Source organism: Homo sapiens, chromosome 11, assembly GCF_000001405.40.
Source record: "Homo sapiens chromosome 11, GRCh38.p14 Primary Assembly".
Lineage (NCBI taxonomy): Eukaryota > Metazoa > Chordata > Mammalia > Primates > Hominidae > Homo > Homo sapiens.
In genome coordinates, this window is record NC_000011.10 from 88,406,070 (window position 1) to 88,423,012 (window position 16,943).

The 16,943-nt window shown below is 39.6% G+C and overlaps 1 long non-coding RNA gene and 1 pseudogene across 4 annotated transcripts in view, besides 1 other annotated feature; one reads left to right on the forward strand and one right to left on the reverse strand.

Annotated features, from left to right (window-relative positions):
- LOC101929174 (uncharacterized) overlaps positions 1 to 16,943 on the forward strand; it is a 90,309-nt gene that overhangs the window by 68,186 nt on the left and 5,180 nt on the right. The window lies entirely within an intron of this gene.
- On the reverse strand, positions 1,908 to 3,221 carry GAPDHP70 (glyceraldehyde 3 phosphate dehydrogenase pseudogene 70; annotated as a pseudogene).
- Positions 15,469 to 15,844: a transcriptional cis regulatory region, noted in NCBI's record as "candidate enhancer chr11.4758 targeted for multiplex CRISPR interference". NCBI's record gives its function as "positively regulates CTSC gene expression with high confidence in K562 cells {active_cell/tissue: K562}" and the evidence as "EXISTENCE:mutant phenotype evidence [ECO:0000015][PMID:30612741]".

Genomic DNA, 16,943 nt, shown 5'->3' on the forward strand with positions numbered 1-16,943 from the left:
CTGGCAGCGAGCAGGAAAAGGCAGGCGTTTGAGCTGGATAGAAAGAAGTAAAAAGGGAGATGAGGATTCAGAAAGTGAAAGTGAATAGAGATCAGTTTTGGATTTTGTGTTGATGACTTGACCTCCCTTTCTTCATCTGTAACATTGAACCAATAACACTTCTTCCAGGATTCTTCAACAATGATCAGAAGAGACTCTTTTTCCTTTGTCACACAAATTAATTATTTTTTTTTCTTTTTGTAAGAAAAATGGTTTAAGTTTGGGATTTCAAGATAAATGTGTGTGTGCGTGTGTGTGTGTCTGTGTGTGTGTGTATACATATATATATTTCCTATTTATGTTTTTTGGGCCTTCTTTTGCTTGAGATTTTAAAATTTTTTTGAAAGACTTATTAAAAAGATCACCTCCCTCTTTAAGGATGAAGACTGGAAACTAAAAGAAGTCTGCCCAAGTTCATAGTTCATGGACATGATTTGATCAGTAATTCAAAAGGGCAATATGACCTTATGCTTTTTTAACTTTCTTTGTTACCTAAGTAATCACTGGGAAAGGCTTTGATACTATATTCGAGATTAGAGCCACAAGTGACTTGATCAAACTTAATTTTTTCCAGGAGAGAGAGGATGGTTTCATGTCACATGTCTGTGAATCGTGACCCTACAAGCCTTTGAGAACAGTTCAGGATCACTGCACTTTACATCTCTAGGTTGAGGAGAAGAGCACACTTGATAGTGTATGAAAAGTGTCTAGCAGAGAGACTGCACTTAATAGGCATTCAGAGCAATTTATATACTAAACAATGATGAGGGTGGCTTCCCTGGATTTTTTACCCCCAATGTATTTTAGGCTACAAAGTGGACTGTCTTCTTTCACAGATAGAATAGGTAAAACATGGGCTGACAGAAAATTCAAATTTCAAGACACACTATATTTGTTTTATGGATACCCAGTAATGTTGTCACCACTAAATTAGCACATTGTGTTAATACCAAGCTTACTTGTTTACAAAACTAACCAACCAACCAACTAACCAACCAACCAAAGCAACAAATAAAAAACCAACTGAGTGATTCAGCAACTAGGAATGTTGAGATATCTTAAAATTTTTAATTCTCAGTTGACTTGGAGACAATTTCATGTACTAATTTAGACTTTTTCTGAAGCTTTTTTTAGTCTGTAGCAACTCTTGAGGTAAAGAACTTCATGAATTTATTTCTTAATATAAGAGATAAGTCTCCTCCTCCTTCTCCGTCTCCTCGTTCTTGTGGTTAAATTAACTCTTTTAAGCTTCAAGCAGAGTTTCCTAGGTGTAATAGATTAAAATTTCCAAATTATGTTCACCCATAAACACAATCCAATTTTGTGAGCATCCTTCACCAGTTTGGCTGTCAATCATCACCAGTCTATTGCCAAATATTTCATTCCTGTCCTTTCCATCACACAGAAAAAATTGGACTCCCACTCACTTTGATGTTAGGCATACTCATGTGCTTCACTTTTCTTCATGAAATCTGAATGAAATTGGCATATGGCTGCTACTGAGCAGAAATTTTAAGAGCCATGATTAATTTGCTCCCATCTCTTTCTCTGCCAAAGTAATTGTTGAAGATTAAACCCTTATCAGAGTGGGTGCCTGCGTTACTAGTATGAGCTGTGCTGACCTGAAATTTACAATGAAAAAGAGAAATAAATCAATTATTTTTTGGATGCTGAGATTTGGACGTTGTTTTTAAATGTAGTACAACCTAGCCTATTGTGATAAAATACAATTGCATTATAGATTTGCAACTTTTCTCTCCTCAGACTAACAATATTGGTTTCTAATCATATCTTTAAGTCAAGGCAAACATGTGCCATCTGTTGATTCTAAGGTCTTCTTATACTTTTTACTTTCTTTTTTTTTATTTTGGCTGAGCACAGGGGACTTTATTGATGGTTCGTGACAAGGAGGGGCTCCCTAGGCATCTCCCTCTTCAGGGGGTCTGCATGGAAACTGTGAGGAGGGGAGATTCTCAGTGTGGTGGGGAACTGAGTGCAGCAAGGACTCCCCAGCAGTGAAGGCCTCTCTCTTCCTCTCATGCTCTCGCTCGGGTTGGCAGTCCAGGGGTCTTACTCCTTGGAGGCCATGTGTGCCATGAGGTCTACCACCCTATTGCTGTAGCCAATTCATTGTCATGCCAGGAAATGAGCTTGATAAAGTGGTTGTTGAGGGCAATGCCAGCCCCAGCATCAAAGGCGGAAGAGTGGGTGTCACTGTTGAAGTTGGAGGAGACTACCAAGTGCTCAGTGTAGCCCAGGATGCCCTTGAAGGGGCCTTCTGATGCCTGCTACACCACTTCTTGATGTCATCATATTTGGCAGGTTTTTCCAGATGGCAGGTCAGGTCCACTACCGACACGTTGGTGGTGGGGACGACAGAAGGCTTTGCCAGTGAGCTTCCTGTTCAGCTCAGGGATGACACAGCCTTGGCAGCACCTTGGCTTGTCCACAGCCTTGGCAGCACCAGTAGAGGCAGGGATGATGTTCTGGAGAGCCCTGCATCCATCACACCACAGTTTCCCAGAGGGGCTATCCACAGTCTTCTGGGTTGCAGCGATGGCATGGACTGTGGTCATGAGTCCTTCCATGATACCAAAATTGTCATGGATGACCTTGGCCAGAGGTGCTAAGCAGTTGGTGGTGCAGGAGGCATTGCTGATGATCTCGAGGCTGTTGTCATACTTCTCACGGTTTATGCCCATCATGAACATGGGGGCGTCAGCAGAGGGAGCAGAGATTATGATCCTTTTGGCTTCTCCCTGCAAGTAAGCCCCAGCCTTTTCCATGGTGGTGAAGATGCTGGTGGACTTCACCATGTACTCAGCCCCAGTGTCACCCCATTTGATTTTGGAGGGATCTCACTCCTGGAAGATGGTGATGGGATTTCCCTTGATGACAAGCTTCCCATTCTCAGCCTTGATGGTGCCATGGAATTTGCCATGGAATCATACTGGAACATGTAGATCATGTAGTTGAGGTCAATGAAGGGGTAGTTGAGGTCAATGAAGGGGTCATTGATGGTGACAATATCTACTTTACCAGAGTTAAAAGCAGCCCTGGTGACCAGGCGCCCAGTATGGCCAAATCCGTTGACTTCCACCTTCACCTTCACCATGGTGTCTCAGGGATGAGGCTGGTGATGCACGAGAAGATGAGGCTTTCTGTCAAATGGGAGGAGCAGAAAACCTATACTTTCTACTTTCTTTCTATACTTTCTGATAAAATTCTGGCTTTAATTTCTTTACCTTTTACCATCATCATCATCATCATCATCACCAACATTATCAGTGTTGTGCTTAACAGTAAATTCCAAGCTCCTAAATTTTAAGGGATAAAATAAGTTATTTTTCCAACAGCCTTATTTTAGAAATGAGACAACTCAGATCCTCCTAAGATAAGAGATTTATCCAGGACCATACGGTAGACTTCTTCTCAATTTTAACTTGCAACTTTTTTTAGATCTTTGTACTTCATAACTCATGCCATTCATTTATTTATTCATTTTTGTGGTTTTTTGTTTGTTTGTTTGTTTTTTAGTAGTGTCATCCATGATGGATATTCATTCAAGTTTTTAAGTTAAATTTTTAAAAAGTAAGTGCTGGCTAGTGGAAGAGCCAGGATTAGTCTCAATGACTATAGCTTGAGAACAATGCTAAGTGTATTAGTTTTTTTAGGGCTGTCATAACCAAATAGCACAGGCTGGTGGCTAAGACAACAGAAATGAATTGTTTTCATGTTTTTGTTTGTTTTTTTGTTTTTTTGAGACAAAGTTTCGCTCTTGTTGCCCAGGCTGGAGTGTAGTAGCGTGATCTCAGCTCACTGCAACCTCCACTTGCTGGGTTCAAGCAATTCTCCTGCCTCAGCCTCCCAAGTAGCTGTGATTACAGGTGCCTGCCACCACGCTGGGCTAAAATTTGTGTTTTTAGTAAAGATAAGGTTTCACCATGTTGTCCAGGCTGGTCTCGAACTCCTGAGCTCAGGTGATCCACCTGCCTCAGCTTCTCAAAATGCTGGGATTACAGGCACGAGCCACCATGCCTGGCCTTGTTTTCATAGTTCTAAGGACGAGAAGCCCAAGACTAACGTGTCAGCAGGTTTAATTTCTTCTGAGGCTTGTTTTCTTGGCATGCAGATAGCTGCCTTCTCATTGACCACTCCCTTGGTGTTTCCTCTGTATGCACACACACCTGGCTTCTCTTCATTTGTCTAAATTTCCAATTCTTGTAAGAATGCCAGTCAGATTGGATTATGGCCCACCCTGACAGCATTTTACTTTAATCACCTCTTCAAACTTCCTATCTCCAAATACAGTTACATTCTGAGGTACTGGGGTTAGGGTTTCAACATCTGAATTTTGCGGGCACAAAATTCAGCACTATGATATGACAAATTGATAACATTTTAAATTAAAAACAAAGCAAAACCTAAGGTTAGAATCTCAGTATTATTTCTAGCAGCTATGATATTTATGGAGTATCAGGTCATAGAATTTAACATAAAATATTAACGAGACTTCAGTGTCATTTGCCCGTCTAACAAAAGGCATTTAATCCCAGTTTTTACAAAATATTCATCCTGATTTAGCTGATAGTTGAGGTCCTTGTGCTGAGCCATCTGCTAATTCTGTGGAAGACTGACCACACCTTTGAACGGGGAGCCTCCCAGGTGCCAAATAGAAGAAATTGTGCAGAATACTCTGACTCACACTAACGATAGTCATCATCCTTACCTTCTCCTTTTCTCCCTCCCTTCCTTTTCCTTTTCTTTCCCAGGTCTTCTGTGAGTACACCGACAATTTCAAACACTATACTAGGAACTGAATTTGGATAAATCATAACCTGCCCCAGGGGCTCACTTCTAGGAGAGGGGACAGATAAGTAATTGCACAATTATAATATAATTATAACATACTATATAATGCTCTAGGCTGTATGAGTATATGAAAGAGGAATTTATAAGTCACAATACGGGGAAAAGAGTCTTATAACTTACATCTCCACAAATGTTTTTTCTTTTCAGGGGATGCTCCTAAATTACAGCCATTATATCGCAGGAGATAGAACATATACGAGGCACAATGGCAAAGCATAGGATCTATGTTTTAACTAATGAATGGGAAATAGGCTCCAAAAGAAGATTGCCCATTAAAGCCATCCCCTTGAGAGGCTATTAATGAATTCCAAAGATGTTGCCTTTCCTTAAAGCTTTTTTGGAACTTGTATTTGGTTAGACTCTGAGCTCTTCTAGAGCAGAACAAAGCTTAACTTAATGCATGGTGCATGATTAATGTTTATAGAACAAGTAAGTGAACTCAGAGACAGTGGCTCATTTTTAATACCATAATTGGTGAGTAATACTTGTTCCTGGGGTGTTTGGGGTTTTTAGAGGCTTAAGACATCCAGATTTAACAAAACTGTGGTCAGACTAACAGTGTTTAGAGTTCAAAGTGAGGCATAGCTCTACAGTAATGGAAGTGGATTTCTTGCAAACCATCTCCAAAGAATACCAGAACAAAAGCAGGAAGAAAAGAAAGTGTGTTTTTTTTCTTTTCTTTTCCTTTCTTTTTCTTTTTTTTAGACGGAGTCTTGCTCTGTCACCAGGCTGGAGTGCAGTGGCATGATCTCGGCTCACTGCAACCTCCGCCTCCTGGGCTCATGCCATTCTCCTGCCTCAGCCTCCCAAGCAGCTGAGATTACAGGCACCCGCCACCACACCCGGCTAATTTTTGTATTTTTAGCAGAGACGGGATTTCACCATGTTGGCCAGGATGGTCTCGATCTCTTGACCTTGTGATCCACCCGCCTCGGACTCCCAAAGTACTGGGATTACAGGCATGAGCCACTGCACCCGGCCAAAAGTGGGTTTTGATGAATAGTAACGTCATCCTCAAATATGAAGAGTATTGGTTGTAATGTTGCTTGGAGGAAATTGATAAGCACTTTTTAAGAAAAGTAGATTGTATTAGAAGCATCCTTTCTTTCTTTTTTTTTTTTTTTTTTTTTACTTTAAGTTCTGGGATACATGTGTAGAATGTGCAGGTTTTTTACGTAGGTGTACATATGCCATGGTGGTTTGCTCCACCTATCAACCAGTCATCTAGGTTTTCAGCCCCGCATGCATTAGGTATTTGTCCTAATGCTCTCCCTCCCCTTGTCCCTCACCCTCCAACAGGCCCCAGTGTGTGATGCTCCCCTCCCTGTGCCCATGTGTTCTCATTGTTCAACTCGCATTTATGAGTGAGAACATGTGGAGTTTGATTTTCTGTTCCTGTGTTAGTTTGCTGAGAATGATGGCTTCCAGCTTCCTCTATGTCCCTGCAAAGGACATGAACTCATTCTTTTTTATGGCTGCATAGTATTCTATGGTGTATATGTGCCAATTTTTTTTATCCAATCTATTATTGATGGGCATTTGGGTTGGTTCCAAGTCTTTCCTATTGTAAATAGTACTGCAATAAACATACCTGTGCATGTGTCTTTATAATAGAATGATTTATAATCCTTTGGTTATATACCCAGTAATGGGATTGCTGGGTCAAATGGTATCTAGATCTTTGAGGAATCATCACAATGTCTTCCACAATGGTTAAACTAATTTACACTCCCATCACCAGTATAAAAGCGTTCCTATTTCTCCACATCCTTGCCAGCATCTGTTGTTTCCTGACTTTTTAATAATCATCATTCTAATTGACATGAGATGGCATCTCATTGTGGTTTTCATTTGCATTTTTCTAATGACTAGTGATGATGAGCTTTTTTTCATATGTTTGTTGGCCGCATGGTTGTCTTCTTTTGAGAAGTGTCTGTTCATAGCAGAAGCATTTCTTCTGGGAACAAAAGTACCATCCAAGGATTATTTAAACACCAGAGGATTTTGAATAAGCAAAAATGTCCTTTGAGCTGACTTTTGGGATTGGAGCTGGTGAGAACTGCATTACTCAGCATGGCATGAAAAGCACTTGGAATTGCTAGGAGCAATCCTGGAAGTCCACTTTAAAAAAGATCATAGGGAAGAGAAAGAGAGAAGCCACTGAGATGAAGAAAGAGCCCATGACACCAGTGTGCCTGGGTGGACAAAAGACAAGCTGTGGATTGTTTCAAATAGAGGATTGGTTCACACAGGGATTCGGTTCTTTGCTCTCTACACTGATGTTACAGTTACAAGCACCATACCTGCATGATATTGTTGATATTTTTTAAGATCAAGGAAAAAACCTGAAAGTCCATATATGAGTGAAAGTGGTGTAAGTCAGGGGCAACATTCAAGGAAGATAAAATAATTCATAAATAGAACTGATTTATGGGAGCAGGAGCTCAGAACTAGAAGTAACAATAGAAACCCAGATCCTCCAGAGATTCATAGAACTCTTAGAAAAAGCTTCGACTATGGCCTGGGGGTTCTGAGTAGCCTTAGCTTAATTGGAAGCCTTACCCCAATTGACACATGAGTTTCATATAAAATATAGCACTAGACAAAATCTGAGCACCTCTATTTTGATTATAGAAAATTGGTTCTGAAGCTTTTTTTTTTCTTTTCTGGAATTTTCTTCTTTCTTTACTAAGAAAAAAGTTCCACCCTGCTACTGCTGCCCCTACAGAGTCGATCATGGTATTTGCTGGGTTCCCACTGTATTTTCTAGAGATTTACATTTTAGCACCTGTATAAGTTTTGGACAATTTAGAAATTTTCTGCTCCTTTAGATTCTGAGCTACTTGAGGTTGGGGAACATGTCTTATTTTTGTTTATCCTGAACCCTTTGTTTCTATCAAATATCCAGTAAATGTTACTGAATAAATGAATGAATTAATGATTAAATGTATGTATGCATGAATCAATGAATGAAGATGAGTATCTATGCTCCTAGAAGTTATAACCTAAATACAGGGAATTTTAAGTAACAGAGTACAAGTCTGGGCGTAAATCAAAACTAAAGATTTTCAAATATCAAAAAGAATTTTGTTTGACTTCCTTCTTAGAGACGGTTTTGGTTTGCTTGTTTTAAACATCTTTCATCTCCATCCCTTGTTTTCTGGAATTTCTATAAGCTATCACCATCCTCCCCACCACCACCCTGCTAAAAAAGGCCCTTTTCTGAGAAACAGAAGAAGAAATAAATGAAATTGGTTTGCATGCCTTAGTGAATTCTTATGATGAAAGGGTAACCTGGAAACAATTCCCATTACACTTAGCAAAACCATTTTTCAGTCTATACAGCCCACTATCTAATTACAGTATTGGAATACTGTTAAGAATGGAGCAAAGTTCAAAGAATCAGTTATATCCCCAATCAAAGCGACCGGCCACACTTTCAGTAGCTGGTGAGAGTGAAGAGGAAGTCACTAAACCAGAAGATCTAATCAGTCTGTTTATCATGTGACAAGAAGATCTTAAGTATTCCTATTGCTGTTCTTATGGAGACTTCATGTCACCCAAATGGAGGCAAGGGACCTCTTTAAAGAGATCAAACAAGGTTGGTAACAGAAGTCCACATGTGAACCTGAACCCTGGGGAGGGATTATTGAGAGAAAACTAGAAGCGTCAATTTGCCCTGTTCCCCAGCTTCTTCGGAGACCTATGTTGAGAGCTGGCCAGCACGAGTCAACTATTGTTGCCTGGCAGTCATCCAAAATGCAGTCTATTACTGGAGAAAAAGCAGTGCATGTGGGAAGGAACTCAGCCCTCTTTTGTGGGCCTTGTATTGTTACTGCACAGCAGAGGATCCAGATAGAGGAAACTAGCTTTAGTGGCATTTTTTTAAAAAGGATAATACTTGATTTGAACAAATAGAACTGTGTAGCCTCCATAAAATTCTGTTTATTTTGTACAATTTGTTTCCAGGTATCTTTGGTACAGTTTAATCCTGGTGAGGGGTATGATGCCATGTAAGCAGAATAAAAGGTTGACATTAAGAAATCATTTTAGGTCTAGAAATAAATGTGGGCTGGAGGAAGGAAAGGATGTGGTCTGGTGGCAAGGAGAAAAAAGGGTGTGCCAGGTGAGAGGCACATGAAATGTGAAATCCTATAAGCCAGTCTGTTTCTGGGGTTGGAAGGCAGGGCTATTGTGTAAAGAGCAAGGCTAGAAAAACCACTGTGAGGCTGAAGAGTAATTATATCCTGGGGAGGAGATGCTTCAGCCTCTCAAGTCAGATCCACGGACATTTGCTTCGTTGTTTGTTTTGATAAGTAGGGGCTACTGTTCACATCTGAGAGGAACGGCATGACTAATGTGATGCTCCTGATAAGTTCTCAACCTTGGTTATATATTGGAATCACTTTAAAATTACTAATGCCTTGGCATTTTACGAAGGTCTCTAGGTGATTTTAATATGCCACATGCTAGAAGGAGCACCCTCACTTTACTTGGGCAAGTTCAATCTTACAATATACCTGATAGTACTTCTTGATTTCTTTGACTTTAATGACCATCTGCAATGTGGTTACCTGCTGATACAATTGCCTCCTAAACTAGTGGTTTTCAAGTGTCAAGGTGCATAGGCATTTCCAGTATATCTTGTAAAAGACAGAAAAAAAAAACACAGATTTGATTCAGTAGATCTGGGGTAGGGCTTGAGAATCAACGTTCTAACAAAAATCCCCTCTTCTGTTCCTCAGAACACACTGTGAGTAGTAAGCTCTTGAATTACAACTCCTCACAGCCTTGTTCCCACTTCCATTTGGTGTAGCCCTCAAGAGTGCAGGCTTTGGGTTTAGAACACTCTGGCCTCTACCCTCTACTAGCTGAATGAGTCTGGGCCAGTTGATTAACTTTAATTACCTAGTTTCTTTGCCTATAAAATGAGGATAAATGAAGGTTTTGTGAGTATATAAAAGATTAACTTAAAGTGGACTAACAGTGCAGGGCCTTGCACATGGTTAGTCCCTAGCTTTCTCTAACCCCTGAGATGCTTTGTCTTGTCACAGCTCCTTTAATTATTTTTTGGTCTCCTACTTTATAACTTCTGTAGAATCTTATAGAAATTCTCAACTGACCTCTAGTTCTTGGAATCCTCCCAACTTCCCCAAACTGTTGCTTCTTTTCTGGCCTCTATTCCCTTTCCACTCAGCCTGTGTTCTCTGGTCAATCATGTAGACCATGGCTTCTATCCGTTCATTCATTAAACAAACATTTACTGAGCACGCCATATGTGCTAGGCATTGTGATGAGCTCTAGGAGTATATTCAATGCATTCAGTGGTGGGCTGGTAAATGTTTCATGATGGTGTAAAAATGTATGTTTATGCACACATACATAAATGTATACTTTTTAATATAAAACATTAATGTAAAGAATGTATAGTGTACAATTTACTCTTTATTTTAAATGTAATATAGCCATTTTGTTTCCACAGAAATTTTTTATTTTATTTTTTGCTAAACTATTGTATTTTTAGCCAAGCTATGGTTGTATCTGATGAATGAATATAGTTCATATAAGAATATTACTTGATTCTTTTGTATTAATAAGATTAAAGTAAAATTAGGTGGTAAGTTGTAACTTCCTTTGTTTGTCAATATCATGAGCTGCTTCTTTGCTGAATCATAGGTTTTAGATACCGGAAGAATAATATTTCTTTAAATTTTTGTGTAATGGCTATAGACATGACCTGCTTTAAGCTTAATCTGTGCTGTTAACATTTTTACTATCATTTTCTCAAGTCTAAACAATCAAATAAACAATACATCAAGATGTCAACTAGGCCGGGCGCGATGGCTCACGCCTGTAATCCCAGCACTTTGGGAGGCCGAGGTGGGCGGATCACAAGGTCAGGAGATCAAGACCATCCTGGCTAACATGGTGAAACTCCGTTTCTACTAAAAGTACAAAAAATTATCCGGGCGTGGTGGCGGGCGCCTGTAGTCCCAGCTACTCGGGAGGCTGAGGCAGGAGAATGGCGTGAACCAGGGACGCGGAGTTTGCAGTGAGCCCAGATCGCGCCACTGCACTCCAGCCTGGGAGACAGAGCCAGACTCCACCTGGAAAAAAAAAAAAGATGTCAACTAGTGTTGCTGATTTATTTGGTATCAATACATCCACTATTGTCAATTTCAAGCTACCAGCATAATGTATTGTAATGGCAAAAACTGCAATTACTTTTGCACCAACCGAATAATGGCACTGAACAGGAAGTTGAAAAGATGTGCGGTAGTCCCTCAATAGATAGTATTTCCACCATAAGGATTGAATCGGGGAAAATAACTTCAAGAGAATAAATCGTAGTAAACACTATGACAATAAACAGGAAATGAATTAGAGCATTTATTATGTTTTGAGAATATAATTTGTTTTTTAAAATAATAGCTATGTTTAACAAACAGATGGAAAAATTCCTGAAAATTTAATAATAAGCACTTCTTAGCAAGGACAAGCCAGCTGCAACACATCAGGTTTGTGCAGTAGACATAGTCACTGACATCATGAAGCTTATACTCTAGAAATGGAGGCAGAGAAATAAATGAGCATGAATCTTATAAGAAGGGCCCCTCAGCCAAATTTGATGCTATAATTGTGATAGGCAGAATGTTGGCTCCCCATGGACTTCACTCTCTGGTGTTTATATCCATGAATAGGTTATATTAAATGGCAAAAAGATTTTGTAGATGTAATGTTACAAAGCAATTGACCTTAAAATGGTGAGAGTATCTTTGATTATCCAGATGGGCCTAATGTAATCACATGAATCCTTAAAACAGAAGGCAGAAGCAGAAATCAGAGTCAAAGCACAAGGATTACCAAGGCACCATTGTTGGCTTGAAGAGAAAGAGGACCATGCAGCAAGGAAATAGGGACCACAGTCCCACAACCATGAGGCACTGAATTCTGCCAATACCCAGTGAGTGTGGAAGAAGACCATACGTCCCAGATGAGAGCTGCAGCCCTGGATACTACCTGGATTTTAGCCTAATGAGACCCTGAAAAGATAAACCAACCACACTGTGCCAGATTTCTAACCTATAGAAATAGTGAGATAAATTTGTGCTTTTTAAAAGTGCTACATTTTTACAGCACAGTAATTTGTTACACAGCAATAGAAAACTAATAACAACTAGTAAAAAAAAAAATTATCAAAATAACAGTAATCCAGGAATAGCAGGGAAAAGAATGTTTCAGCACTTTCAGGGATTTAGTGGTGTTGAATATGCCTGAGTGGCATGTACAAGAGAAAGAAAAATGAGAAATCAAGATGGAAAAAAAGTGTTCCTTCCTGAAGAACCTTTTAAGCTAGGAGAATATTCTGAATGTTTTCCCAAGAGCAAAGGGAACCAATACATCATTTGTCATGATCAATTTGTGTTTATGGAAGATAGATGAAAAGGGTGTTGAATGGCAGGAGGCAGATCATTTAGGAGGCTTTTTCAGATCAAACAAGCATGGTGAGGATGGAGAAAAGTGGATTGCGGTGCCTTACCCTGTATACTCACTATTGTCTACTGTTTGTTCTTTCTCTCGTTTGCTTTTTAGTTGTGCTCAACAATCACTGTTTTAGCACTCTGTGCCAGGCACCATGCCAGGCAGTGTGAATACCCCTTCAGGCTCCCAGACCTTGGTAGGGATCATGTTGCTGCCCTTTTTCCCCCAGAAGCTGTGTAAAGTAATGTAAATACATAGTTTATGAATTCAAAAAACTAGTTCTGCCACTTATAAAGTGAACAACCTAGGGCAGGTCACTTAACCTCTCTGAGTTTCACTTTCCTGATTTGCAAATAATTGCTATAGCTACTTCAGAAAGCTATTGTGGCTAGGCGTGGTGGCTTATGCCTGTAATCCCAGCAGTTTGGGATGCTAAGGCAGGAGAATTACTTAAACCCAGAAGCTCAAGACCAGCCTCGGCAACACAGTAATACCCTGTCTCTATTAAAAATAAAATAAAAGAAAATAGAAGGCTATTGTGAGCATCAACTACAGAGTACATAAAAACTTTAAAAGTCATAAATGCTTTCCAAATGGTGGGCTGTCTTCTCTTCATCTCTTTACCTTGCATGTGTTCCAGCTTATCTCATGTTCTTTCTTTCTCCCATGTCTCTTTCATTGTTGTTAATAAATTAGTTCAATGAATAATTATTTAGAGTCTATTATATACTATTCACTCAGCTGGATGTTTTTATGTATTTGTTTACACATTCTCTCACGCACATATCTACACACACACATACACGCACACACACTTCTTGTTCTTCAAAGAGCTTACTCTGAACACTTAAGGCTATAACAACACTCATATTTTTAAGTAAAATATAAAAGTAGTTACAAAATATATAAGATTTTGCATACCTACATTTGTGTTTATATAGGTGTGTTGTGTGAAAGAGAAGATAGAGAAAAGTGTGACTATATACATAGAAACAAACATTGGAAAATATACCTCAAAATGTTAGTACATTTCTCTCTGAATAATTTCCTTTGTCTTTTTTCATATTTTTCTGTATTTTTCAAATTGCCTGCTATAAATACACTTTATGAATAGAAAAATAACTGAAAACATTTTAATAAAAATATGAAATAGCAAATACTATAAAGGAATTACATGTAGGACATTATGGGTCTATGTAAAAAAATTTTTTTTTCAGAATTAAATGATGCCAGAGTAGAGATGAACAGAAATTTTGCAGGAAAGAACCTACAGAATGCCATTCTAGGAGGAGGACCCAGGAGAAGTAGAGGCTCAGCATGGAGTGGACAAGAAACACTATCATGTGTATATAGTTCCTGTCACCTGAAGCGCAGCTTGGGGTAGAGCAGGAGACAACTCCCGAGGAAATCGGGAATATCATGCTAGGCATCTTAAATTCTGTCCTACAGATGCTAAGACATTTAATCAGGGGATTCACTAACAGTCATACTTGCATTTTTGGTAGATTACAGTGGTAGTAGTGTGACATATGGGGAAAGAAGAGGTTAGAGGCAGGTGAGAAGCACGGAGACTCCTCAGGAAACCAGTTTCAGGTAAAAAAAAAAAAATAGATGATGAAGGCCTGAACTAAGACAATATATTGGGAATGGAGAAAAATATTTTACAGATGATTAGGAAATATTTAAGGCTTAATTCCTATGCTGCTTAGGTCATACTGTGTGGCTAAATTAGTAACACCAAAACTCACATAAAAGAATACTTGTATGCGTACATATCGTGCCTGCGTAATTTTCCCACTGGAAGAAGAGTCTCAAAGGGGATGGGAAGGCCAAGAACTGACAATGAAGATTTCACAATCTGTCTTTGGACTAACTTCTGCAAGCCCAGACGAGGCATTTGGGATGAGAAATTGCTGCCCTCTGTCTCAGAACCAGGCTGTGGAGAGACGAGAAAGAGCAATGAGTTGGGGACAGGATTCCAGAGAAAGACCTGCAGGACTTGATGGCAGATAAGAACAGATGAGCAAATGTGGAGTCATGTGATGGTCACAGAACAGGCTGTGCAGAAACACAATTTTGGAAGAAAGAGAGGGAGTGCTTTTGAGTCATTTTTAGTTTCTGCGGCAGCAGGATTTCCAACTGGTATAAAGATAGTCAGGAATGAACAGAAACAGTGAAGGGCCTGAGTGTGTCATGAGAACAGGATATCAGGACTGGTTTGCTGTCAGCCGGAAACAACTTGGCTGTCCCTGCTGAGGAGGGACCCAGGGCATAGGGGGGAGTGAATTTTGCAACTCTTTCCAGCCCATGTTTCACCATATTCAATATCTGCCTTATGTTTGGGCTAAGTGAGCAAATGTTTTTGTGGTATAATTTTGAGGCTTCCCTTAAACTTCTCTTCTTGGTCATATAAATAAGAAGAATCTAAAATTCTCCAAGTCAAGAGCAAATCTTCTCCTTCGTTACAGTGAGTGTAGGGATTCAAATTCAAACTGAGCCATATGTGATTGATCTCAGCCTTCCTGCTAGCAAGATTTGATAGACATGAAGGAGATGGGATGTCGGTACGGGTAAGAGAATCCTAATACAAGATGGAGAGGGAAAACAGAAAGGAAGTGTTCTGGAGACAGTAAGGCTTTGCAGTAAGTGCAAAGAGCCTGCGTCCAGAAGTCTGAGGCACCTCTGACACTTGCCTCCTGGGGTGATGCCCAGATAGGATCATAGCATCATTTATTTGAAGAGCTCTCTGAATTATGTTGCTTGGAGAAGTCAAATCTGGACTAGTCTAAGGGGCTAGACTACCTTAAAAATAAGATTCTTTCCATTTTCATAGTCAGACTCTATGGACAAGGAGGACTTAAAACAACAAATATTTGAAGCTTTTGCAGAAAATTAGAGGAACCCTACAAAAGTGAGTTTTCCATAATGAGATAACAGAGGATTTAAGCTGAACTAGCATAGAAGACCCTAGGTTAAAGTCACAAGAATGTACTATTTTTCAGTGAGGCCTGTTCTAAGTTTCAAAGGGCCATTCCTGCACTAGTTCATTACTAAAATATATTTGGCATTTGGGAGGGTGTGTTTTTACTCAAAGGACAGTTATTTATTAGGTGAAAAGCCCCAAAGCACAGGAAATATGAGATAGCAGTAGGTAGTAGGGATAGGGGGCCAGGGCTGCTCTTGACCCCAAAGTCTTCAGAATGAGTGCTAGGAAGTAGCCTGTCATGGGCCTCCAGGAACCTGAAAACTGGAGGAACCACTTTTCTGAGAAGTCTTACTCAGCAGACATACCACCCACAGTTTCCTCTTCGCAGCTTCTCCAACTAAGACAAGAACAGCTGTCTTAATTCTTCCTCTCTCCCCCCATCAGTGAGGCTCAGAAAAGCCAGTAATTTGGCTTTATTCTTCAGAGGGCAGCTCTCTCCCAGTGGTAAACACTCTAATACTCTCCAGGGGACTTTTTTTTTTTTCTTTTTGTTTATTGACTTTCTAAAAAATATTTCTTACCTTTAACAGATTTTTTTAGAGTAGAACAGTTGACGATGAGACAGAATGAGGTTTTCTTTATCATTTTAATGCTGGTTAAGCCTATTGGGATATGCAATAAACATTTATGTTATTGTTGTTGCTGTTGTTGTTAATAATTTGTTTGGGTTACACTTCTATCAGCTAGTTTTTTTGTTTGTAGTGGCTGAAATTGTCCTGGGTTAGGGGATGTGGGTGGAGTAGAAAAGTCAAAAAGGTGGGATAGGATTTCTGTATTAATTACTAGGTAAAATTGTGTGTGTGTGTGTGTGTGTGTGTGTGTGTCTGTGTGTAAGACCTTGACTTAGGAAAGGTAAGTATCTTTCTAATTGTAAAAAACAGAGCAGATAATTTGATGAACAATTTTAAAATTGACTTTTTCCTTTTTTTTTTTTTTTAACAGACTAGACCAAGCAGTAAAAACTGAATTTTAATTATCTACTGGAAATTCCTCCAGAATAAAGGGTCTGGTTCAGTTTCTATATTGACTCTATGGGTTCCAGTCTGTGAAATGCCAAGGGTTGGACTGACTAGAAGTCTCCAGATTACCTCTCTCTTCTTTCCACCCCTACTGCTTCTTGCCTACCATATGCCATAGTGCCGGCCGGCAAAATGTACCTGTTTAATTCTCTAGGTTAGAAAAAATTCCCTAGATTTTTCTCCTTGTCTTTCTATGTCCAAATGCTACCTACTTTTTAAAACAAAGACAACAGGCCAGGCATGGTGGCTCACGCCTGTAATCCTAACACTTTGGGAGGCCAAGTCGGATGGATAACTTGAAGCCATGAGTTTAAGACCAGCATGGCCAACATGGTGAAACCCGTCTCTACTAAAAATACAAAAATTAGCTGCGCGTGGTGGTGCACTCCTGTAATCCCAACTACTTGGGAGGCTGAGGCAGGAGAATCACTTGAACCCGGGAGGCGGAAGTTGCAGTGAGCCGATATCGCACCACTGGACTGCAGCCTGGACAACAGAGTGAGGCTGTCTCAAACAATAAATAAATAAATAAATAAATAAAATAA